The 26,800-nt window shown below is 38.3% G+C and overlaps 1 protein-coding gene and 1 pseudogene across 17 annotated transcripts in view; one reads left to right on the top strand and one right to left on the bottom strand.

The window, feature by feature from the left end:
- ZNF43 (zinc finger protein 43) overlaps positions 1-16,231 on the top strand; it is a 47,120-nt gene extending 30,889 nt beyond the window's left edge. For 13 of the 17 annotated variants that reach the window (NM_001256653.2, NM_001256650.2, NM_001256649.2 and 10 more), the window contains 3 exons: positions 1,956-2,082; positions 3,191-3,289; positions 11,370-16,231. In NM_001256653.2, coding sequence (NP_001243582.1) covers positions 1,956-2,082; positions 3,191-3,289; positions 11,370-13,570 — 2,427 coding nt within the window. In that variant the 3' untranslated portion in view covers positions 13,571-16,231. Of the gene's footprint in view, positions 1-1,769; positions 1,843-1,955; positions 2,083-3,190; positions 3,290-11,369 lie in introns of all 17 variants that reach the window. The other 4 variants (NM_001256651.2, XM_047439316.1, NM_001256654.2 and 1 more) reach the window with 2 other exon arrangements.
- Positions 19,990-20,697, bottom strand: BRI3BPP1 (BRI3 binding protein pseudogene 1; annotated as a pseudogene).

The raw sequence follows: 26,800 nt of genomic DNA, 5'->3' as shown, positions 1-26,800 counted from the left end.
CGAGACTCCATCTTAAAAAAAAAAAAAAAAAAAAAAAATTACAGCCGGGTGTGGTGGCTCATGCCTGTAATCCCACCACTTTGAGAGGCCGAGGTGGGTGGATCACTGGAGTTCAGGAGTTTGAGACCAGCCTGACCAACATAATGAAACCCATCTCTACTAAAAACACAAGAAAATTAGTCAGGTGTGGTGGCACATGCCTGTAATCCTAGCTACTCAGGAGGCTGAGGCAGGAGAATTGCTTGAACCTGGGAGGCAGAGGTTACAGTGAGCCGAGATCGCACCATTGCACTTCAGCCTGGGCAACAAGAGAAACTTCACCTCAAAAAAAAAAAAAAAAAAAAAATTACAGAACATGGGAGACATCTGTATCTTGAACTTTGCATAAAACTGATATTTCTTTATGGTTAAATTTAGATTATAATTTACTTTTTGGGGGCAATATCACAGCAGTGATGCTGTGTCTTTTTGCGTGCATCAGCACATCTTAAAATTTGTTCTAGTACATTTTATGTTAATTATTCACTTGATTATCAAGGGCTCTCTGACAGACTCTTTCCCTAAATAATTATTTTCCTTTTTTCTTTCTTTTTTTTTTTGAGACAGAGTCTTTCTCTGTCACCCAGGCTATAGTGCAGTGGTGCCATCTTGGCTCACTGCAACCTCTGCCTCCTGGGTTCAAGCAAATCTCCTGCCTCAACCACCTGAGTAGCTGGGATTACAGGCACCCGCCACCGCACCCAGCTAATTTTTGTATTTTTAGTACAGACGGGGTTTCACCATCTTGGCCAGGCTTGTCTCGAACTCCTAATCTCGTGATCCACCCACCTTGACCTCCCAAAGTGCTGGGATTATAGGTGTGATCCACCATGCCCAGCCATTTGTCTTTTTTTTAAATGTATATGTGTGTGTATATATATAAAATATATTAATATATATGTATATATTATATATATATATTATTATTATTATTATTTTGAGATGGAGTCTTGCTCTTTGACCCAGGCTGGAATGCAATGATGTGATCTCAGCTCACTGCAACCTCCACCTCTCGGGTTCAAGCGATTCTCTTGCCTCAGCCCCTTGAGTAACTGGGACTACAGGCATGTGCTACCACGCTTGGCTAATTTTTGTATTTTTAGTAGAGATGGGTTTTCTCCACGTTGGCCAGGCTGGTCTCAAACTCCTGACCTCAGGTGATCCACCTGCCTCAGCCTCCCAAAGTGCTAGGATTACAGGTGTGAGCCACCATGCCCGGCCATATTATTAAGAATCTTTATGCAACTGATGTACGTAAACCATCACATTTAATCTGGCAGCTGCTCTTCTTTCTTAGGTTTTCTTTGCATTTATCTGTCTTTTGAAAATGAAAGCTCTTATCTTTGTTTACTTGCCAGAAAAACTAGAAAAAAAACACAGACTTTTCCATTTACTGGATGTTTGACAAAATAGTCTTTCTGGGCCAAAATCATTGGCATTACTGGTAAGCTTGTTAGAAACTTAGAAACTCAGACTTTATTCCAGATCTTCTGAAAAAATAATCTTCATTAACAGGATCCTCAGTTTATTGTACACCTTAATATTTTAAAGGTCCCTTCTAACTCAACATGTCTTTATCTGAAAAATATTCGCAACTGATTCTGTATGATGCAAATAGAGAACTCAAAAATTTACTTTTGTGTTCATGCCCTTAATTTTACAGTTTATCATCCAGAAAAGTATTATATATACACTGATGTTGTGGATCTTACATCACTTTCTTTTCTCAGGGGTAGAAAATACATTGGAGAATAATTCCATGAAAAGAATTATTTTATTGGATAATTTCAGTCTCTTCTATAAGTCAGTACCTGTTCTCTTTACTCTCTCATTTTACCTTGAGTCAAATTATAAATTCTGCCTGTGGCCACTTGGTAAATGTGTGTGTTTGTGTGTGTATGTGTTGTTTTTTTTAGGGACCATTGACATTTATGGATGTGGCCATAGAATTCTGTCTGGAGGAGTGGCAATGCCTGGACATTGCACAGCAGAATTTATATAGGAATGTGATGTTAGAGAACTACAGAAACCTGGTCTTCCTGGGTGAGCATAACTTCAATACTCAATTCCTAATATACCCTAAAGATTTCATTTTTGTTTTCTGTAGACTGTTTTTTTGGTAATTTATACTTTGCATTCATGAGTTTCAGATTCCTGTTTTCAAAAAAATTGGGATTTGTTGGCGCACTAAAGAATTTTTTTCAAGATGTTTCATCTTGACCTGAACTTTCCACATTTCTGAGCTGATCTTTCACTCCAGATTAGTAGTAATTCCAGAAATTAAGTGGCATAAAATACTGTTGCCCACAACTTAAAATCTAATTGCCAACATTAATTTTTGATTCAGTATTACCAGGTAGTGAAATTAAGAACCTACAAAATAAGATACTTTCTAAATATTTACAAATTTTTGTTAAAGGCCAGGCATGGTGGCTTACTCCTGTAATCCCGGTACTCTGGGAGGCCGAGGCAGGCAGATACCTGAGGTCAGGAGTTTGAGACCAGCCTGACCAACATGGCAAAACCGCATCTCTACTAAAAATGCAAAAATTAGCCAGGTGTGGTGTTTCATGCCAGTAATCCCAGCTACTCAGGAGCCTGAGGCAGGAGAATGGCTTGAACCCAGGAGGTGGAGGTTGCAGTGAGCCGAGATCGTGCCACTGCACTCCAGACTGGGCAACAGAGTGAGACTCTGTCTCAAACAAGAAGAAATTTTTGTTAAAAATTAGTATTTTGGGGCCAGGTACGGTGGCTCATGCCTGTAATCCCAGCACTTTGGGATGCCAAGGCAGGCGGATCACCCGGTCAGGAGTTTGAGACCAGCCTGACCAACATGGCAAAACCCTGTCTCTACTAAAAATACAAAAATTAATCAGGCATGGTGGCACACGCTTGTAATCCCAACTACTTGGGAGACTGAGGCATTGGAATTGCTTGAATCCCGGAGGTGGAGATTGCAGGGGGCCAAGATCGCACCACTGTACTCCAGCCTTGGTGACAGATTGAGACTCCATCTCCAAAAAAAAAAAAATTAGTATTTTGGGATTAATGATTAGGATATTCTATCACACCCTTCATACTGGACACATTACTAGGTTAATAATGGGAGAATATGAGCAAGATTCACGTAATTTATTTTTTATTGAAACAGGTATTGCTGTCTCTAAGCCAGACCTGATCACCTGTCTGGAGCAAGAAAAAGAGCCTTGGGAGCCTATGAGGAGACATGAAATGGTAGCCAAACCCCCAGGTAGGTGAGAGTGAAAGTGAATACAACAAACACAGATGAGAAGTCCAAAGGTTAAGGGGAAAGCCAGTCCTTAAAATGTGACTTGGGAAGCTGTGTTCCAAAGGAAAGAGTTTCTGGAAAGCCTGAGTTTTTTCATTTTGCTTTCACACAAGGGTATCTTCTGTCTTATGCTTTTACATTCTCTCAGGATTCTTATTTCCCTTCGGTGATCTTCCTTCAAGTTTACCATGACAGCCAAAGTCCTCTTCATGACATTTAAGAGACTGAACAATCTGACTGCTTTTCCATTCTTTTGGGGGACACACAAATATCTGCATACTTTTGAGAAACTGTATATTAAACTATTTTTTAAGTTCTTTCTTTACATCATGTCTGAAATGTGTGAGTAGTGCTTTCTGTTCCATTGGATTTCTTTGTATATTTTCTGCACAGTTCATCCTGTTTTTATTACTGTAGCCTTTAAATAATATGAAATTATGAATTATGATGTTTCTTTGCTTTGTTCTTTTTCCTCAAGATTGCTTTGTTCAAAGTTTATTCTAGTTTCATGTATATTTTAGAATTGCATTGTCCATTACTGTGAAAAAAATCCCACTGGAATTTTGATAGAAAGTTTATTAAATTTATAGATCACTTTGGATACCGTGGCTTTTTTTTTTTTTTTAAAGACAGAGGCTTGCTCTGTCACCCAGGCTGGAGTACAGTGGCACAATCTCGGCTCACTGCAACCTCTGCCTTCTCTCTCAGCCTCCCGAGTAGATGGGATTACAGGCCCATGCCACCATGCCTGGCTAATTTTTGTATTTTTAGTAGAGACAGGGTTTCGCCATGTTTGGCCAGGTTGGTCTCAGACTCCTGACCTCAGGTGATCTGTCTGCCTCGGCCTTCCAAATTGCTGGGATTACAGGCATGAGCCACCACCCCTGGCCTGTAGTGAAGAGGGGTCGTTGCTTGGTCACAAGGCTGCTGAGTCTGCACTAGGGTCCGCCTTTAGTTGGCTTGTTACAAGGGGCTTGGGTAGTTGTAATTTCCATTTTATTTTTGGACTTTCCTCTGTAGGGCAGAACACTAGGGCAGTTTTTTGCAGTCGGGTCTGCATATGGTGGGCTTTATATCAGGTTGTGGATGAGTGCGGTTTTCACTGAGTACCAGAGAGGATTTCCCCAGGTAACTGTGTGGGTTTCTAGTTAGGCAGAACTGGCCATAAACCATGGCTCAGGGAGCTGGAACAGTCATTGAACTGCTTCAGGGTCCACAGTAAAGGCCTGCATCACTATAAACCAGTATCTTCCTCCAGGCCTTTTGAAGAACAGGACCTCTCCCAAACTGTGGCTGGAAGCAGTTTGGGATGCTTACAGAGTAAGTTCAGAATTTTCTGTGGGACCAAGTTGGGTGGGCCATTTTCTGGTCTGTAGTTAAGAACAGGGGTCCCGTAGTTTGCCACCTGAATGAGAGCCTGCCTTCTGAAAAAGAAAACTCCTTAATCTTGGGCTTTATGTGAGTTTTACAACTGCCTGCCTGGATCTCAAAGCTCTTTTAAAGGAACTTATTTTTCAGATGGGGTCTTGCTACATAACCCAGCCTGATCTTAAATTCCTGACCTGAAGCAATTCTCCTACCTCAATGTACCGTGTAGCTGTCATTGCAAGTGTGAGCCATGATGCCTCCTGGCTCTCATAAAGGCATTTTTGTCTAGGATGGCTGAGAAACGTTCTTGCTCTGTGGGGATAAGCAAGTAGGGCACCTTTTATTTTTCCATCTTACTGTTGTCACTCTCCCTATACATTTTTAGTTTTTAGTTTTTCTTTTCTTTTCTTTTTTTTTTTTGCGTCAGAGTCTCGCTCTGTTGCCCAGGCTGGAGTGCAATGGCACAGTCTCAGCTCATTGCAACCTCCACTTCCCAGTTTCAACTGATTCTGCTGCCTCAGCCTCCCAAGTACCTGAGGTTACAGGTGTCCCCCATCACACCTGGCTAATTTTTTTGTATTTTAAGTAGAGATGGGATTTCACCATGTTAGTCAGGTTGGTCTATAACTTCTGACCTCAAATGATCCACCCATCTCAGCCTCTCAAAGTGCTGGGATTACAGGCATGAGCCACCATGCCTGACCCAGTTTCTATTTTTTATTTCCAAATTTGTCTGTAATTTTGGATTCAGACATTTAGGACAATTATACTAGAATTTACATATTATGTCTGAAGTAAATTAGATAATCAGTAAGCACTCCATATTTACTAATATAGTTATAAATTTAAGTTTGCTGTAGGTAAAAGAGAATGATAGGATTTGTACCTACTTTTGTACCCTAATTATAAATAATATAATTTATTCCCAAATATTTGTTTTATATATCAGAGGCTGTAACCGTATTCTGCAAAATATATATATATATATATATATGTAATTTAGTTGTAAGGCTATTCTTTGCCTCTAAAGTTGGATTACAGCAGTTTCATTTTTTGTAAGTATAGCATCTACTTAAAATATAAAAATTATCTATAGTTTCTTTTAAATGTTTATTAAAAGTTTCTCATTACAATCTTGTATTTATGATTATACTGCATTTTCTCTAAAATTTTACTGCTGTACAGTTCATGCCAATGATGCAGAAGTACAAAGTTACAAATATTGTAGTTATCTAAACAAATTCTTCTTTAATGGTGCATCAATGTTGCATACCAGATTTTTTTTTTTTTTGAAATGGAGTTTTGCTCTCGTTGCCCAGGCTGGAGTGCAATGGCATGATCTCGGCTCACTGCAACCTCCGCCCCTCCAGGTTCCAGCGATTCTCCTGTCTCAGCCTCCTGAGTAGCTGGGATTATAGGCATTTGCCATCATGCCCAGCTAATTTTTGTATTTTTAGTAGAGACAGGGTTTCATCATATTGGTCAGGCTGGTCTTGAATTTCTGACCTCAGGTGATCCGCCTGCCTCGGCCTCCCAAAGTGCTGGGATTACAGGCATGAGCCACTGTGCCTGGCCTTGCATACCAGATTTTATGAGTAAACATTTCTCTTATTATTGTTTTCCAGTTTCATATTAGTGTATTTCTTCAGTGTAGGTTTCTTAACATCAGTTTATTGTGTTTTTTGGTTTTACCTATGTATTATAATTTCAGACAATTTTCAATTCTGTATGCTTTAATTAAGAGATAATTAAATCCCATATTGGGCTTTAATTGGCCGGGCACGGTGGCTCACGCCTGCAATCCCAGCACTTTGAGAGGCTGAGGCAGATGGATCACAAGGTCAGGAGATGAGACCATCCTGGCTAACACGGTGAAACCCCGTCTCTACTAAAAATACAAAAAATTAGCCGGGCATAGTGGTACGCACCTGTAGTCCCAGCTACTCAGGAGGCTGAAGCAGGAGAATCGCTCAAACCCGGGAAGTGGAGATTGCAGTGAGCCAGATCGTGCCGTTGCACTCCAGCCTGGGCGACAGAGCAAGACTCCATCTCAGAAAAAAAAAAAAAAAGAGATCAATCACCAAATGTCTATCACAATCATATTATATATGTGTGTGTGTGTTTATAAATATATGACCCCAATTTTGGTTAAAGCTTATCTTGTATATATTATTTTTTAGCTAATTTTTAATGGTTGTTTTGTCTTCTCTAAGTTAGTAGTCATGGAAATAGTCTATTTTCACCATGTGTTTAATGATGAATGTATATTTTCTTTGTATGAGAGAAACACTTTTGTAATTTGAGGGTAATTTTTTAAAAAGTTTATAATGCTGTATTTTTTTGTTTTTTTTTAATGTTAGTGTTGTAAAAACATGTAACATGAAATTTACCATCTTAAATCTATTGAAGTGTACATTTCAGGCATGATGGTGACTCACATCTGTAATCCCAGGATTTTGGGAGGCCAAGACAGGTGGATTGCTTCAGGCCAAAGTTTGAGACTAGTCTGGGCAATATATGGAGATTCCCTCTCTACAAATAATTTTTGAAAATAGCCAGGCATGGTGGTATGCACCCATGGTACAAGCTTTTTGGGAGATTGAGGGGGAGGGATTACATGAGCTTTGAAGTTAGAGTCTACAGTGAGCCATAATTGTGCCACTGTACTTAAGCTTGGGTGACAAAGTGAGAACCTGTCTTAAAAAAAAAAAAGTACTTTTCACTCATGATAAAAATATTTACATTGTTATTCAAAAAACTTCTAGAAATTTTACACCTGTGAAACTAAATACACATTAAGTAACAAGTGCTCATTTTGCCCTCTTTTCAGCGCTTGACAAACAGCGTTTTACTTGCTGATTTTATGAGTGTGACTACTTAAGATATCTCAAATAAGTTGAGTCATATGGTATCCATAATTTCATTACTTGCTAATTTCAGGTGACATAATATTCTCAAAATTTATCTTAAAATGAGGCAAGATTTTCTATTTGAAGGCTGAATAATATTACATTGTAGATCTATATTAATTTTTTGATGTATTTATAAATCAAGGGACATCTAAGTTTCTTCAGCCTTTTGGCTTTTGTGCATACTGATACAAAAAATATGGATGTTCATATGTCATTCAGGTCCTGCATTTTCTGTTATGAATATAGATTCATAAATGAGATTTTTGTATTTGATGATTTCATTTTTAAGTATCTGAGAAACATTTATAATTTTTTTTTTTTTTTGGAGACAGAGTTTCACTCTTGTCGCCTAGGCTGGAGTCCAATGGCGTGCTCTCAGTTCACTGCAACCTCTGCCCCACTGGGTTCAAGTGAGTCTTCTGCCTCAGCTTCCTGAGTAGCTGGGATTACAGGCATGTGCCACCATGCCTGGTTAATTTTGTATTTTTAGTAGAGATGGAGTTATTCCATGTTGATCAGGCTGGTCTCGAACTTATGACCTCAGGCGATCTGCCCACCTCGGCCTCCTTGTTTTCCATCAACAGTCAACATAGGTTTTTTTTTTTAATTTGTAATTTTTTATTATTATTTTTTTTTGAGATGGAGTCACACTCTGTCACCCAGACTGAAGTGCAGTGATTTGTTCTCATGTCCCAGGTTCAAACAATTCTCCTGCCTCAGCCTCAGGGTAGCCGAGATTACAGGCACCCACCACTATGCCCGGCTAATTTTTGTGTTTTTAGTAGAGATGGGGTTTTGCCATGTTGGCCGGGCTGATCTCGAACTTCTGACCTATGGTGATTCACCTGTCTCAGCCTCCCAAAGCACTGGGTTTAAAGATGTGAGCCACTGTACCTACCTGGATGGTTTTATTTTTATTGCATCATCAACAGATTTTGTATTTTTAAAAAATTTATAGTAGCCATTCTAAATGGGTGATAGGTGATTTTGTTTTTCATTGTGATTTTTATGCATTTCTCTACAAATTGTAATTTTGTGTCTTTTTAAATGCTTCTTCCCATTTGTGTATATTTTTGGTAAAAATTTAGTTCAATTATTTGTCCATTTCCAAATCAGATTATTCAACTTTATTGTTAGTTTTAAGAGTTGTTTATAGGCCAGGAGCAGTGGCTTACGCCTATAATCCCAGCACTTTGGGAGGCTGAGGCGGGCGGATCACGAGGTCAGGAGATCGAGACCATGGTTAAACCCTGTCTCTACTAAAAATATAAAAAATTAGCCGGGCGTGGTGGTGCGCGCCTGTAATCCCAGCTACTCGGGAGGCCGAGACAGGAGAATGGTGTGAACCCGGGAGATGGAGTGTGCAGTGAGCTGAGAACGCCCCGCTGCACTCCAGCATGGGTGACAGAGTGAGACTCCGTCTCAAAAAAAAAGAAAAAAAAAGTTGTTTGTATATTATGAATATTAAGGAATATCACATGTGATTTACAAATACTTTCACTCATTTTCTAGGAGGCATTGTCTCTCTATTGAATGTTTTCTTTGATGTACAGTAATTTCGAGGTATAGTGTAGTTAAATTTTTCTGTTCTTTTCTTTGCTGTTCATGCATTTAAGGTTGTGTCTAAGAAAATGGTGCCAAGACCAATGTCATGTCTTTTTTCCATATTTCTTTTTAAAAGATTTGTTAGTTCCTTTTTTCTATGTGTTTTATTTAAAATATTTGTATATATAATTCAAGAAAATTATCCAACTTTATTTTATTAGTGTTGGTATCCACGTTTCAGCATCATTTTTTGAAGAGATTTTTTTCTATTGCTTCCTCATGGCAACTTTGTAGAAGTTCATTTGATCATACACAGAAGGGTTCATTTTAGGACTCTTTATTCTGTTCTTTCATCTACTTATCTGTCTTTGTGTCAGTACCACATTGTTATTGTAGCTTTTAATATGTTTTGAAATCAGAAAGTATAATGCCTCTTTATTGTTTTCATAGTTGCTTGGCTATAGTTTTTTTTTTTTGTTTTTTTTTTTAGAGACAGAGTCTCGCTCTGTTGCCCAGGCTGGAGTGCAGTGGCATGATCTTGGCTCACTGAAAGCTCTGCCTCTTGGGTTCTAGCAATTCTCCTGCCTCAGCCTCCCAAGTAGCTGGGATTACAGGCACATATAGCCATGCCCAGCTAATTTTTTGTATTTTAGTAGAGACAGGGTTTCACCATGTTGCCCAGGCTGGTCTCGAACTCCTGAGCTCAGCAGGAAATCCACCTGCCTTGGCCTCCCAAAGTGCTAGGATTACAAGTGTGAGCCACCATGCCTGGCTTGGCTATAGTTTTTAATCAAATTTTAAAATTGTGAAGAATATTTCTGTGAAAAATTGTACCATTGAATTTTATGTAGAGATTATATTGAATTAGTTCACCACTGTAGCTTGTATTGACAACTTTGGAAAAGTTAAATTCTTCGGTCCTTGAGCAAGAATATGTTGAAGAGTGTGTTTTATTTTGATATATTTTTGGATTTGCCAGTTTTGCTTTTAATTCCTAGTTTTATGCAATTTTGGTCGAAAAACACAGTGTATAATTTTGGTCTTCTTAAATTTATTTGTCGTCGTCGTTGTTGTTGTTGTTTTGAGACAGGATCTTACTCTTGCCCAGGCTGGAGTGCAGTGACATGATTTTGGCTCACTGCAGCCTCAACCTCCTGGGCTCAAGTCAACCTTAGCCCCTTAAGTAGCTGGGTGTACAGACATGCACTACCATCCCTGGCTAATTTTTTATTATTATTTGTAGAGACAGAGTCTCACTATGTTGCCCTGGCTGGTCTCAAACTTGTGGCCCCAAGTGATCCTCCTACTTTTGTTTCCAAAATTTTAGGATTATAAGCATAAGCGACTGCACCCAGCTGGTATTCTTAAATTTAATAAGACTTGGTATTTATCCTAGCAGAATACACAAGATGCAAAGAAGAATATTGTATATTGTCTTGCTTTTTACTGGAAAGGTTTGTATGAGTCTGTTAAGTCTCCTTTGTCTGTGATATGGTTTGGATGTCCATGTTTCCAAACCTCATGCTGCAGTATAATCTTCAGTGTTGGATGTGGGATCTGGAAAAAGGTATTTTTGTCATGGAGGTGAATTCCTCATGAATGACTTGGCACCATAGTCTTGGTAATAAGAAAGTTTACACTCTGTTAATTCAAAAGAGAGCTGGTTCATTAAAAGAACCTGGCTCCTTCACCTCACACTTTCCCTATTACCATGTGACATTTCCAGTTACTCTTTGCCTTCTACCATAACAGTAAGCTTCCTGAGACCCTCACCAGAAACAGATGCTGACACACACTTCTTGTACAGTCTGCCAAATTGTGAGCAAAATAAGCCTTTTTTCTTTATAAATTATCCACTCTCAGGTATTCCGCTATATGCAAAATAATTGGAGTTGGCAATTTACTTCTAAAGGCACTATGTTATGTTGGAGAGCAGAAAAAGCTGTGTTGGGTAAATGTAACCAATTTATATTTTCCTTCTATGTGGCTCTTTGCATTGGACTCACCTGGGGCACTGCACACACTTATTTGTAAATTTTTCACTGATTTGATCAGTATGTTTTTGTTACATTTATATGTCTATAAATAAATTAGGGCCTGTGGTATTTTTCTATGACATCTTGCTTATGTAGCTTGTGTGATTTTATATGTTACATAAAGTATATTTATCTCTGAGTCTAGCAAGTGGAATAATTTGTTATTTTTATTTTTTTCAGTTATGTGTTCTCATTTTACCCAAGACTTTTGGCCAGAGCAGCATATAAAAGATCCTTTCCAAAAAGCGACACTGAGAAGATATAAAAACTGTGAACATAAAAATGTACATTTAAAAAAAGACCATAAAAGTGTGGATGAGTGTAAGGTGCACAGAGGAGGTTATAATGGATTTAACCAATGTTTGCCAGCTACCCAGAGCAAAATATTTCTATTTGATAAATGTGTGAAAGCCTTTCATAAATTTTCAAATTCAAACAGACATAAGATAAGCCATACTGAAAAAAAACTTTTCAAATGCAAAGAATGTGGCAAATCATTTTGCATGCTTCCACATCTAGCTCAACATAAAATAATTCATACCAGAGTGAATTTCTGCAAATGTGAAAAATGTGGAAAAGCTTTTAACTGCCCTTCAATCATCACTAAACATAAGAGAATTAATACTGGAGAGAAACCCTACACATGTGAAGAATGTGGCAAAGTCTTTAATTGGTCCTCACGCCTTACTACACATAAAAAAAATTATACTAGATACAAACTCTACAAATGTGAAGAATGTGGCAAAGCTTTTAACAAGTCCTCAATCCTTACTACCCATAAGATAATTCGCACTGGAGAGAAATTCTACAAATGTAAAGAATGTGCCAAAGCTTTTAACCAATCCTCAAACCTTACTGAACATAAGAAAATTCATCCTGGAGAGAAACCTTACAAATGTGAAGAATGTGGCAAAGCCTTTAACTGGCCCTCAACTCTTACTAAACATAAGAGAATTCATACTGGAGAGAAACCCTACACATGTGAAGAATGTGGCAAAGCCTTTAACCAGTTCTCAAACCTTACTACACATAAGAGAATCCATACTGCAGAGAAATTCTATAAATGTACAGAATGTGGTGAAGCTTTTAGCCGGTCCTCAAACCTTACTAAACATAAGAAAATTCATACTGAAAAGAAACCCTACAAATGTGAAGAATGTGGCAAAGCTTTTAAGTGGTCCTCAAAGCTTACTGAACATAAGTTAACTCATACTGGAGAGAAACCCTACAAATGTGAAGAATGTGGCAAAGCCTTTAACTGGCCCTCAACCCTTACTAAACATAACAGAATTCATACTGGAGAGAAACCCTACAAATGTGAAGTATGTGGCAAAGCCTTTAACCAGTTCTCAAACCTTACTACACATAAGAGAATTCATACTGCAGAAAAACCGTACAAATGTGAAGAATGTGGCAAAGCTTTTAGCCGGTCCTCAAACCTTACTAAACATAAGAAAATTCACATTGAAAAGAAACCCTACAAATGTGAAGAATGTGGCAAAGCTTTTAAGTGGTCCTCAAAGCTTACTGAACATAAGATAACTCATACTGGAGAGAAACCCTACAAATGTGAAGAATGTGGCAAAGCTTTTAACCATTTCTCAATCCTTACCAAACATAAGAGGATTCATACTGGAGAGAAACCCTACAAGTGTGAAGAATGTGGCAAAGCTTTTACCCAATCCTCAAACCTTACTACACATAAGAAAATTCATACTGGAGAGAAATTCTACAAATGTGAAGAATGTGGCAAAGCTTTTACCCAATCTTCAAACCTTACTACACATAAAAAAATTCATACTGGAGGAAAACCCTACAAATGTGAAGAATGTGGCAAAGCTTTTAACCAGTTCTCAACTCTTACTAAACATAAGATAATTCACACTGAGGAGAAACCCTACAAATGTGAAGAATGTGGCAAAGCCTTTAAGTGGTCCTCAACCCTTACTAAACATAAGATAATTCATACTGGAGAGAAACCCTACAAATGTGAAGAATGTGGCAAAGCTTTTAAACTGTCCTCAACCCTTTCTACACATAAGATTATTCATACTGGAGAGAAACCCTACAAATGTGAAAAATGTGGCAAAGCTTTTAACCGATCCTCAAACCTTATTGAACATAAGAAAATTCATACTGGAGAGCAACCCTACAAATGTGAAGAATGTGGCAAAGCATTTAACTATTCCTCACACCTTAATACACATAAGAGAATTCATACTAAAGAGCAACCCTACAAATGTAAAGAATGTGGCAAAGCTTTCAACCAATATTCAAACCTTACTACACATAACAAAATTCATACTGGAGAGAAACTCTACAAACCTGAAGATGTGACAGTGATTTTGACAACACCTCAAACTTTTTCAAACATAAAATAAATTATACTGGTGAGAAATTCTAGAAATGTAAAGAATGTGATAAAGGCTTTACATGGTTGTCACACTTGATTGTAGGTAAGATAATTTACATTGGAGTAAACTTCTACAAGTGTGAAGAATGTGGCAAAACTTTTAATTAATGCTCGTACCTTATTGCACAGGAAAGAATTTTTACTTGGAAAAAGGTATATACACAAAGAATGTGGAAAAGCCATTAATATGTGCTCATATCTTACTCAACATCAGAGAGTCTGTACTTAATAAAACCATTATAGATGCAACTAGTGTCAAAAGATCTTTCAGAAAATAAAAGCCTTTAAAGTGAAGAAGATAATTCATTCTGAAGACAAACATTACAAATATTAAGAGGGTTGTAGTACCATTACTTGCATCACAGATCTTATTGTACACATTTTGTACTAAAGAAAACCCTGAAGCAGTTGCTCAAATACTGTTCAACATCAGAAAATTTATATTGGAAAAAACCCCTGGAAAATGTAATAAATTTGTAAAAACAGTTTTGAAAAACTACAGCTTATAAAACATGAGGGTCTATAATGCTTGGTTGATAGTACAAAGTTTATTCAACATCAGGGAATTTATATTGGAGAAAAACCCTACAAATGTAATCAGTTTGGAAAAACATTTTTAAAAAAACCACAGCATAGAAAACACCACAGGGTTCATACTAAAATATGTTTTTGCAGATGCAGTAAAAATGAAAAAAATTTAATCCGAAATTAAGTTTATGTAAATATCTGAGAATTCACAGTAGAAATATCTAAGGCGCGGACACTTCAGACATTACACTAAATCAGTGCTAAGTACAGAAAACAACACAAAATAAAACTTGGTGGATAAATTATTTGTATATAACATTAAAAGAAGTAGAAGATTTTCAGTTATAATTACAATTAAAGTATACTTTTATCTTGAAAAAATTACTGATTTTTAAATTAGTGAATAATGATGTAATTAAACTCTCAAATAACTTTATGCTCTTTTTTCATTCCTGCTATATTCACATGTGAAAGCATGTGACCAATTGTTGCTGCACCAAAGATATGAGAGATTCTTTTATTAGGTGGGCATTATTTAAAACATTTTTTATGGAACAGTAAGGATATTAAAGTGTAAGATGCAGCCAGGCATGGTGGCTCATGCCTATAATCCCAGCACTTTGGGAGGCTGAGGCCGGTGGATCACCTGAGGTCAGGAGTTTGAGACCAGCCTGACCAACATGGTGAAACCCTGTCTTTACTAAAAATACAAAAATTTACCAGGCACCTATAATCCCAGCTACTTCAAAGGCTGAAGCAGGAGAATCACTTGAACCTGGAAAGTGGAGGTCTCAGTGAGCCGAAATCATACCATTGCACTCCAACCTGGGCAACAAAAGTCAAACTCCATCTCAAAAAGAAAAAAAAAAAAAAAAAAGATGCGTGATGAAAATGTAACTGGAGAGGCTCTTTGTGGTTAACTTATAAAGGAGTGATGCAGGAGATAGGTTTTCAGAGTAATATTCTTCTGCATTATAGTGACAAAAGTTTTTTATTTTAGTTAAAATTGGTTAAATTAGTAAGTCATTTTACTTATTGTAATTTTATGTAATTAAATGTACATTTTTAAATTTTTAGATTACATGTAAATATAACTTTTAAAAAAATGTGTTAAGACCATTGTACATTCAATGAAGCATTATTATGCTTCTAACTTTAACCTATTTCACCTTACTCAAGAGTGTATGTAAAAGATGGTAACAATATACTATTTGGTAACATAATGGACTAACATTTCTATTAATCTATTTCACCAGTGGCTTTCAACTGCAAATAAGTTAAAGAATATTTTTCTATAGGTTAAATATTCTTTTTTGTCTTATTTAAACTTACTGTTCTTAATTTCTGTGGGTACATAGTATGATTTTAATTACCTTATTTTATTCTTTGTGCTATTCATAATTTTTTTTGTTTGTTTGGTTTTTTTTTTTGAGACAGAGTCTTGCTCTCGCCCAGGCTGGAGTGCAGTGGCGCGATCTTGGCTCACTGCAAGCTCCGCCTCCCAGGTTCACTCCATTCTCCTGCCTCAGCCTCCCAAGTAGCTGGGACCACAGGCGCCCACTACTTGTTTGGGTTTTTTTTTGGAGATGGAGTCTCGCTCTGTCACCCAGGCTGGAGTACAGTGGCATGATCTTGGCTCACTGCAACCCCCACCTCCCCGGTTCAAGTGATTCTCCTGCCTCAGCCTCCCGAATAGCTGGGATTACAGGCGTCCACCATCACACCAGGCTAATTTTTGTATTTTTAGTAGAGATGGAGTTTCACCATGTTGGCCAGGATGGTCTCGATCTTCTGACCTCATGATCTGCCTGCCTCGGCCTCCCAGAGTTCTGGGACCACAGGCATGAGCCACTGCACCTGGCCAAATGTGTATATATTTATGCAATATATAACATGTTTTGATACAGGCATATAATATGTATTAGTCACATCAGGATAAAGTATCTATTACCTTCAGCATTTATCCTTTGTATTACAAGCCAATTCTACACTTCATTATTTTAATGTACAATTAAATTGTTATTGACTACAGGGTCATTTTAATTATAAAAATTATATAGAAGTATAAATAAAGTCCATACATTCCTGAGTCATGAATAAACATTGGTATATATTTTTCTTTGACTATGTGGCCGCTCTGCCTGAAACACATACAGAGTTTTAGTTTTGACTTACATAGGGTTAAATATACACATACATTACTCTAAAGATAAACCTTAGGTGTAAGAAAATTATGGAGTAAGTAACTGTTCTTGTATGAGTGTCTACCTATTTTAGGAAGAAAAAATCAATATTGAAGCAAAACAAGTAATTTTAATAAGGTGACTAATTTACTAGAAAACTAAAAACCTCAAAAATGCTGAAAGGAAATCTATACTGTCTGCTTTCTATTGAATTCATTACTGTAAGATCTTATGGTTTATGGTTCAGAATCTCCCCATGCAAACTTTTTTTTTACTTGCTTGGTACTCATGCTAGACCCATAATTTTCTTTTTTATTATTTTTTCTTTTATAGTTTATGAGGTATTATGTAAGCTCACTGGGGATTATAAGAATGATTTTTATGAAATTTAGTTGTGCACACAAAATAATTTTTAGGTGCAATTCCACAATTAGTGTTTTAAGTTATATTGAGTTAGGATATTCGATTTTGTTTATTTAATTGGAGACTTCTATATAAACCTACTTTAGCTATTGTTCATTTCACTTTCTATAATTGACATATGTAAATTTATTGAGCTAATTAGTTCAGGTAAATACTAGGGAGGCTTCATAAGTTCTGAAGTTTTTTTGTTCTGTTTTGTTTTGAGACAGAGTCTTGCTCTGTCACCCAGACTGGAGTGCAGTGGCATGATCTCGGCTCACTGCAACCTCTGCCTCCCAGGTTCAAGCAATTCTCCTGCCTCAGCCTCCTGAGTAGCTACAGGCACACACTACCATGCCCAGCTAATTTTCTGTTTTGTATTTTTAGTAGAGACAAGGTTTCACCATGTTAGCCAGGATGGTCTCCATCTCCTGACCTTGTGATGTGCTCACCTCAGCCTCTCAAAGTGCTAGGATTACAGGCATGAGCCACTGCGCCTGGCCTTATGAGGATGTTTCTATACATAAATATAGTGAACAAGCATGATGGTGCTTGCTGTGTAACAGATTGTCCATAATAAGCCAAAAACATTTCTGCTGGAGTTAGTTGGTAGCTTCAAGTCAGAGACGGAAAATATCAGTGATGAAATAATATTGATTCTTACTGTGGAGAGAACATTTTTCTTATCTTTAGTAAAAATACAAAAATTAGCTGGCCGTGGTGGCATGCACCTGTAATCCCAGCTACTCAGGAGGCTGAGGCAGGAGAATCACTTGAACCCCAGAGGGAGAGGTTGCAGTGAGCCGAGATCACGCCATTGCACTCCAGCCTGGGCGACAGTGAGGCTTCATCTCAAAAAAAACAACTGTAGTTTTGTAAGCATCCTCAAAGAAATCTACACCTGTTTCCCAAACACTTGCAATGCAAAGTTAAATTTCACAGAATCTTTTCACAAGAGTGGGTAGACAGCTGTTTTCTTCAAACTGAGACCTGGACTATAAGGTCTTGATTCTAGCAGATCTGACAGGACTACCTACAAACCTGCATGCAGGGCTGTGTGAGTGGCTGCTGGAGCACATTGGTGGGCTGAGAAGGGCCATGGAGACATTTATGATCACCAGACGCCTTCACAGCTGCATTATGCAAATGCTGGGCTTCACTTCCTAATGAGTTCTAGCAGACTAGTGTTTCCACCAGTCCCTGACCCATGCCTTCTGAATCTCCCTTGCCCAGGGTCCTCACAGCTGTCCACTATGTATGTCTCAGTCTCTGCTGATAGAGGCCACCTAAAATGAGAGCAGAATAGGCCTCAGAAAAAGCACCTAACAACCCTACTATAAGTATTTCAAAGAAAACCATTCAGATTTTCTCCAAGGCTTGTCTGTTGCTGCTTACTGTTCGTGAGAATGCTTTCTAAGCAGCAATAGATTTGAGAATGTCATTAGCCACTACTGTTTGTTTTCCTTCTCATGTCCCGCATTAACCAAAACCAAAATGAAACCAACAAAAAGCCTTCCAGGATATAGCTTTTGTATATAGGCCTAGCTGGCTAGCAGTAACATTTGGACTTTAAATTGAGTCTTGAATGATCTTCAGCGGTTACCCAGATAGCTCTTGGCATCAAACCCCTTGGCATCTCTTCCATTCCTTTTCCTATTCAAAATATTGAGGTTAAAATACATCAAAGTACAGAGGGAAAAAAATCTTAGGTCTTCTAAAAATAATTGTTTCATTTAGAAATCTGAATGATGGAGTGTTGGCAGAGGGCCACCAGAATTCAAAAGAGGTTGAGTTTAATCCTCCAGCCCAACTGTCCACATTTAGAAATGACAACATTCACGAACTAAGTCAATATAATTTGCACAGATCTTACCCAACAAACCCTAAGCTGCAAAAACAAACACTTGCATTTACACTTTTTTTTTTTTTTTTTTTTTGAGATGGAGTCTCACTCTGTTACCAGGTTGGAGTGCAATGGCACTATCTCGGCTCACTGCAACCTCTGCCTCCCGGGTTCAAGCAATTCTCCTGCCTCAGCCTCCTGGGCAGCTGGGACTACAGGTGCATGCCACCACACCCAGCTAATTTTTTGTATTTTTAGTAGAGACGGGGTTTCACCATGTTGGCCAGGATGGTCTCGATTTCTTGACCTCGTGATCCGCCCACCTCAGCCTCCCAAAGTGCTGAGATTACAGGCATGAGCCACCGCGCCCGGCCTGCATTTAAACTTTTCTAAAATGTCAAATTAGCATATTCTTTCCTCAGTGTAAAGTTTTAAGAAGCTTTAATCTGCCTTTATGAATTACCCTTTCAAAAATATATTTAAATGCTAGGAAAAGTTAACTTTATTCTCTACTCACAAATTTCTCTTACTTTACAGACAAATGTGGTTATATACATTGTTTAAAAACGCTTTTCTACTAATGACACTTCATGTGTAGATCTACACAAATGCTGTTTTTATTCTTCTGGGAATAAAAAGAGCTGTCCCAAGAACTAATAAAAGGATAAAAATATCTTTGCGGCTGGGTGCGGTGGCTCACGCCTGTAATCCCAGCACTTTGGGAAGGTGAGGCTGGCGGACCACGAGGTCAAGAGATGGAGATCATCCTGGCCAACATGGTGAAATGCCGTCTCTACTAAAAATACAAAAATTAGCTGGGTGTGGTGGTGCGCACCTGTAGTCCCAGCTGCTCAGGAGGTTCAGGGAGGAGAATCGCTTGAACCCTGGAGGCTGAGGTTGCAGTGAGCCGAGATTGCCCCACTGCACTCCAGCCTGGTGACAGAGTGAGACTCAGTCTCAAAAAAAAAAAAAAAAATCTTTACTATTTGCCCCTACTTGCTCAGCCATTTTTTTTTTGTTTGGGGTCTGGTGTTTGTTCTTTTCCCTCCATTTTGTTTTTTTGAGACAGTGCACTGGTAGAAATTGGCACTGATGGGCCAGGTGTGGTGGCTCATGCCTGTAACGGCACTTTGGGAGGCCAAGGCAGGCAGTTCACTTGAAGTCAGGAGTTTGAGACCAACCTGACCAGCATCGTGAAACCCTGCCTCTACTAAAAATACAAAAATTAGCTGGGCGTGGTGACATATGCCTGTCATCCCAGTTACTCAGGAGGCTGAGGCAGGAGAATCCCTTGAGCCCAGAAGGTGGAGGTAGCAGTGGCCAAGATCGCGCCATTGCACTCCAGCCTGGGTGACAGAGTGAGACTCCGTCTCAAAAAAAAAAAAAAGAAAAAAGAAACTGGCACTTATGGTTGGCTAACCTTTACGCTTCTTTGGAGCAGTGGAGAATTTTTAGCCCCCTGTTGAGGCAAATGTTGAAAAGTCTGACCTTGTTCTCAGGTGCTCCAGCTTCTTATTTACAGTAGAGCTGCCATGCCTGTAAAAGCCCATGGGCCAGGTCATAAGGTGGACTTTACTGTGAAGCACAGGGAGCACCTCATTCCTCACCCTTATCCTTGTGCAGAATGTGCTTGCAGGACCTGGAGAACAGGATGGTCCACACGATCCAGAAGAAGTGCTGAACACCAGATGCAGTGCTTTGAAGGTTATGTCCAGGGTCAGAAACTAGAATCAGTAGGCCAAGCAGCTGGCACTGACCAAAAGAAGGGCCTAGGCTAGGCTGCTGGCCACTGAGGCTGGGTTGCAATGCTGGGACAGGTTGGAGATGTCAAGTCCAAGAACATCCAAAACCTCTTACTAGACTCTCCACAATGTCTGTAGAAACATATGTACTCCCAACACAAACTTCTTGGTGAGCCAGGTCAAGATCTTTTGAGCAGCAGATATTGCCTTTTCACAACAGGCTATGGATGCTCCAGCAAAAGGTGTCGACTATGCCAGTGTGGCTGTTCTCAGTTCCCCAGTGACCCCATGTTTCCTGCACTCCTGAGGCCAGCAGCTCAAGCAGCAGCAGTAGCAACAGCAGGAGAGGCCAGCTCAGGCCCCGCACCTGCGGTCTGCCTGAGGCTCATGTGCCCATGCCAGCAGGGGGGATGTGATGACATAGTGCAGGATGAGGGCTACACACAGGGCTGGGTTGCCATGGGCTCAACAGGAGCAGCATTGAAATGATCAAGGGCTGCATACCACACCTTTGTCTGCTACTGCTGCCACCACCTATAATTTATAGGTAAACACCTTTTAGGAGGCACATATAATCATTTAGAAAGATAAAAACTCCCTCCTGCTACTTTTTTTTCTCCTTCTTTTCCCGTGCCAGACTTTTGGCTAACATCTACAAACATATTAGATGGCAGCCATATAAATTTTATTTTAATTATAATGCTTTCAAAATTAATAAATGAGTAAGTATAAAATAAAATCTTAACTACTGTATCAGCAAAAGAAAATGAAACTCATATTACAATTAAAGTGAAGAAAGTTGATGGGCTGTATATATTGACTGGTAAAAGTTTTAGATACCAAAAGTTTCACAGGCAATAGAATATCCAATTACCCAGTTAGAGCAGGTAGTCAGATAGTGATGAGTTGGGTAAGGTAGAGGCCCTGGGAATGTGCCCCAGGAATGTCAAGTGATTATCAGGTGGTCACCTCAGGATTGATAAGTGGTCTCAGCTGGTGACAAGTAGGGGCACCCTTCTAACAAATAGAAAACATTTTGAGTGCTTGGGCAACAACTTAATAAAATCTCAAAAATTTGGCAAGACCATCCAAGCATGGACAGTGAGAGGCAAAATAGTGGAGTTTAACCAATATATGCCTTTCTCTGGAGGTGCTCAACTGGTAAAAATAATATCTCCAATAGAGCAAGCATAGAACCTCAGAACACTCATGAAGCATGCAGACGACTTCCCTACTGCTGGCAAGTACCGCACAAGCAACAGTGAGGCATTAATCATGCCAAAGGGACCAGGGGAGGAGTCCATAATACTAGAAAATAAGTGAATGTGTAAGAAACTGGAGCCAAGGGCCAGGTAGGGCACTTGATCTCTAAGTCACCCATTTGGTCCCTTTCCAAAGCTACTTTGCTTTCTTTCAATAAAGTCCAACTTTTGCTTCAAATTTGCTTTTTGTCTCTTGGCTAGATACTTTCTTTTGAGAAGACAAAAACCAAAATCACTGCAAACCTGTGCGGACTGGCCATTGGTAACACAGTGAGAAATGATTTATATTTTATTGCTGGTAACATATTAGTTATTAACTTCTCCATAATAAATAGAATTTCACATGTAAGGTTCTAATTATTATATGAAGCTTTTCATGTTTTCAGAAATAACTGTCAATTTTTCTCCAAGAATTAACAATTAATAGGTAGTCATTAACATTGCTGTGTTTATATCTCCTAAAATTATTAGATGGGAATAAGTTTTTATAAACAAAATCTTCTGGTGTGGAATGTTTTATCTTTTGCAGCTCATGCATCAACATATCCCAAAAGAACTGTGAATTTGGGAACTGCAAGAACTGAGGCCAGATTTGTTTACCATGGAAAATTTGGAGTGTTTTCCATTGCAGCTGACTCCATCATCATTTAACCTTCTGTTGAAGGACCAGTGAGAAGCTGTTAATTTCTTTTTTCTCTCCTTTTCTTTTCTTTTCTTTTCTTTTTTTTTTTTTTTTGAGACAGTCTCGCTCTGTTGCCCAGGCTGGAGTGCAGTTGCATGATCTCTGCTCACTGCAACCTCCATTTCCCAGGTTCAAGCAATTCTCCTGCCTCAGCCTCCCGAGCAGCTGGGAACAGGTGCATGTCACCATGCCCAGCTAATTTTTGTGTTTTTAGTAGAGACGGGGTTTCACCATATTAGCCAGGCTGGCCTCGAACTCCTGACCTTGTGATCCACCTTCCACTCCCTCCCAAAATGCTAGGATTACAGATGTTAGCCACCCTGCCTGGCCAGAATCTGTTAATTTCAAGCTGCAAAAGCCTTATTGTTTTAGGGTTAGCATTAAAAATGAGAAATGGGCAATTTTCTTGTATTCTTTGTATGTACTTAAGTGATAGTAAATAGATACTGAAACAAAGTGAAATGTTAATGGTGACTATTCAGAGCACCTGCTCTATTTTCTCTGGATACCCTGAGATTTCTGAATTTTTTTTAAGGTAGTTTTGATCAGTGATTAGTACCACCTTGCCAGAAATGTGCTCAGTTCAGAGATAAGTAAATAAGTTGGCTAAAAGCACAATTACTAAGTAGTGAGGTCACAGCTGGATCATTGCTGATTCCATTTTCTCTCTTCAGATATTTTCAAGGCTTCATACTGTGTTACAGTGTAACTAAGAACATATAATTTGAAAACAACTTGTTTTTCATTTGTTTCTAGAAGTTATACTTCAATATTGGAGCATGGTACAACAATTTGAAAGACATTATTAGCCAATTTAATCTGAATTTGGCTAGAAACACCTAGAAAGCTCTAAGTACTGGATTTGAACCCCCTTTTTTTTTTGAGACAGAGTCTCGCTCTGTCGCCAGGCTGGAGTGCAATGGCGCAATCTCTGCTCACTGCAACCTCCGACTCCATGGTTCAAGCTATTCTCCTGCCTCAGCCTCCTGAGTAGCTGGGATTATAAGCACCTGCCACCACGCCCAGCTAATTTTTGTATTTTTAGTAGAAACGGGGTTTCACCATGTTGGCCAGGATGGTCTCGATCTCCTGACCTCATGATCTGCCCGTCTCAGCCTCCCAAAGTGCTGGAATTACAGGCATGAGCCACCACACCTGGCAAAGGCCTTTCTATGATATAAAAACTTGAGAATATACAGATGACTTTTTGCAGAATTCTGACAATGCTCTGTTAATTCCAATATTACAGTTTGAAGTTTGACTAAGCTAACAATAACTTAAATAAACAAGATTTCTAGCCGAAGTAATAAAATGTAGGGGAAGTAATCTTAAAAATTATTAGCTACAAAAACTAAAGCCAAGGTAATTATTCTATAGACAGTATCATGTATCCTATTTAATAGAATATTTCTATTTGTATATTTCTTCAATTTGAAAACTTTCAAAGATGTCTACACTAAAAAAGCCAGAATAATCTCCAGATTTTCTATCCAAAGCTTTTTTGAAGATTTCAGAAATGGTTTGTGTGTTACTTTTCATTTATGTAGCAAAGAAGGAATCAAAAAACAAATTACAAAAAGTAGAACATTTAAAATAATATAAAAATGTTAAAAAGAATTAGAAAACTTTTCAAAAATAATTTGAGCTTTGCCTGCCTGAGGCCACACCTTACCTATTGAAATCAATATTTTCTGTATGTATGACTAAGTTCTTATAGCCTTAGGAAATTTTTGAAATTGCATCAAGAAAAATTTAAAATTATAGGCTTGGAGACTTTAATTCAGCTCAACAAATATTTGCTACATCTGCATAATGTTCCTAGCAATATATTCCAGGATTATATTTTCATCAAAATCTAAAAAAAATTTTAAGTTGATTTTTTATAGATTGGATTTTGGTTTAGAAATATTAGGTTTAATACTCTAGGTAAAGATACCTGAAATACTGTAACACTCAGTGAATAAACATTTTCATTGTCTTCTACTGTGTTCATAGACTTTATAATAAGAGATACCCCAAATAATATTTGTGGAAATAGGCCTAAATATATTATATAGTAAATATTGGTATTATGCTAAGCAGATATAATCAAGATAAATGAATTATATATATATATTTTTTGAGATGGAGTCTTGCTCTGCTGCACAGGCTGGCATGCAGTGGTGCAATCTCAACTCACTACAGCCTCTGCCTCCCGGGTTCAAGCAATACTCCTGCCTCAGCCTCCTGGGTAGCTGAGATTGCAGGCATATGCCCCCATGACCAGCTAATTTTTGTATTTTTAGTAGATATGGGGTTTCATGATGTTGGCCAGGCTGGTCTCGAACTCCTGACCTCAGGTGATCTGCCCACCTTGGCCTCCCAAAGTGTTGGGATTACAGGCATGAGCCACCACTCCAAGCCCAGGTCTTTTAAAATTAGCACTGTTTAGATTTGTACAAAATTCATAGGTTTGCAGTAACAAAAGTTTTAATATTTTTTTCTCCCAAAGTACTGGGATTGCAGACGTGAGCCACCGCACCCAGCCGAATTACAAATTTTTGTAAACAATATGATGAAATTAATCCCTAATCTCTACTTTTTAGGTACATAAACTAGCAGACATATAAAGTAGTTTTTCTTTGTTCCCCTCCTTATTAGTCCTTTCAGTTGATGGTAAAAAGCTGTATTTTCTTTTTTTCTAGTTGGCTTGCATGTGAATCAAGTTTTTCGTTGAGAAGCTTATTTTCCTGAGATTTTGTTATACTTGGTTTTAGAGCATCCAGTTCCACAGCATCTGTTACTTTTGGGACCCTGAATTTGCTAATTCTTGAGATTTATCCTTGAGAAAATTATTATTTTAATGAAGATAATAAATATGAAGAGTTTTTTTTGTAAAGTTTAGTTTTTCTCCTTCTTTCAGTTAATTTTTTCCTCATCTATTTGACCTTAAACCATATAAACTCTAAAAACTGCCCTTTAATACTGAGAGATACTTGGAAACCACTTTTCTGTTAACTGCCCTTCCCCACCATTCTAGCAATTCAGAATACTAATAACATTATTTTTACCTAAACTTGTAGTCAGCGAATGCTGTAAGGTGATTAATCAAATATTATTTACTAAACACCCAAGCAGTATACTATGATTTTATTACCTTTTTTTTTCTTTTTCTTCTTTTTGAGACGGAGTTTCACTTTGTCACCCAGGCTAGAGTACAGAGGCATGATCTGGGCTCACTGCAACCTCTGCTTGCCAAGTTCAAGCAATTCTCCTACCTCGGCTTCCCAAGTAGCTGGGATTACGGGTGTGGGCCACCACGCCTGGCTAATTCTTTTGTATTTTTAGTAGAGATGGGGTTTCACGATGTTGGTCAGGCTGGTCTCAAACTCCTGACCTCAAATGATCTGCCTACCTCAGCCTCCCAAAGTGCTGGGGTTATAGGCATGAGCCAGCACACCCGCCCTTTTATTACCTTTTTAATACAAATTTATTTCTTGAATTAAATAGTTATTTCACTTTATATTAGTTTGATTTTCTTTTTGCCTATTGCTAAGTTTTGCTAAAATACTACCACTTAGCTTACACTTGCCCCAAAATTGTTTTTCATTTGTTTATAGCACTTTAAATTATCTCTGGGTTACATTTTTTCTTTCCCTGCAGATGTCTCTCCTGCAGCCTGCCTTCTTCCTCCTCTGATTTGGTTTCTCTCTGAAGAGTGTAAAGCTGTGACCTAAGCCTCCCCTCCTTACTCCCTCAAATGGCTTCCCTGTCTCTGAGTCTCCTTCTGTTTGGTTCTGCTCTTGTTTTGCTTGCTGATTCCACAGACAGTTTGCATCCTGGTATCCAGAGAGTGTGCATGTTAGGTACATTTTTAAAGACCTTGGATATCTAAAAGTAAATGTATTCTACCTTTTATATTTGATGGTAATATGGTTTGGATATGTGTCCCTGCCAAAATCTCTTGCCAAATTGTAATCCCCAATGTTTAAGGTGGGGCCTGCTAGGAGGTAAATGAACCATGGAGGCGAATTTCTCCTTCTGGTGCGGTTCTCAAGATAGAGTTATCTCAAGATCTAGTTGTTGGAAAGTGTGTGGCACCTCCCTCCCCCTACTCTCTTCCTCTTGCTCTGGCCAAGTGAAGTATGCCTGCTGCCTCTTCACCTTCTGTAATGATTATGATAATTTTATTCAAAACTGGATTTTTTCGTCTATTGAGCTCCTACTGTGTACCATGCGTTATTTTGGGAGCTGAGGATTTCAGAATAGGTAGAACAAAATTAAAATACACTTAGGTTTCTATGTAAAAAGAATTTTTATTTTGGGGTGACAAGAATGTAAATAAATAACCACAGCAAATTGATATGTGTGTGTGTATATATAGATATTTATATATAAATTTATATACACACAATAAATATCTATATATACACCACCCACCCATATGATTATATAAGAAAAGCAAAAAGCAAAGTAAAAGACTTGGAGAGTGATAGTGGTGTGTCATTTTCTAAATGAAAGTCTCAGGCTCAGAAAATCTGAACAGTGACCCAAAATAAATAAAAGAGCCATGTCTG

This window comes from Homo sapiens, chromosome 19 (genome assembly GCF_000001405.40).
Source record: "Homo sapiens chromosome 19, GRCh38.p14 Primary Assembly".
Taxonomy (NCBI): domain Eukaryota; kingdom Metazoa; phylum Chordata; class Mammalia; order Primates; family Hominidae; genus Homo; species Homo sapiens.
Note: the sequence above shows the minus strand (reverse complement) of the source record. Positions and strands in the feature narration are given on the sequence as shown.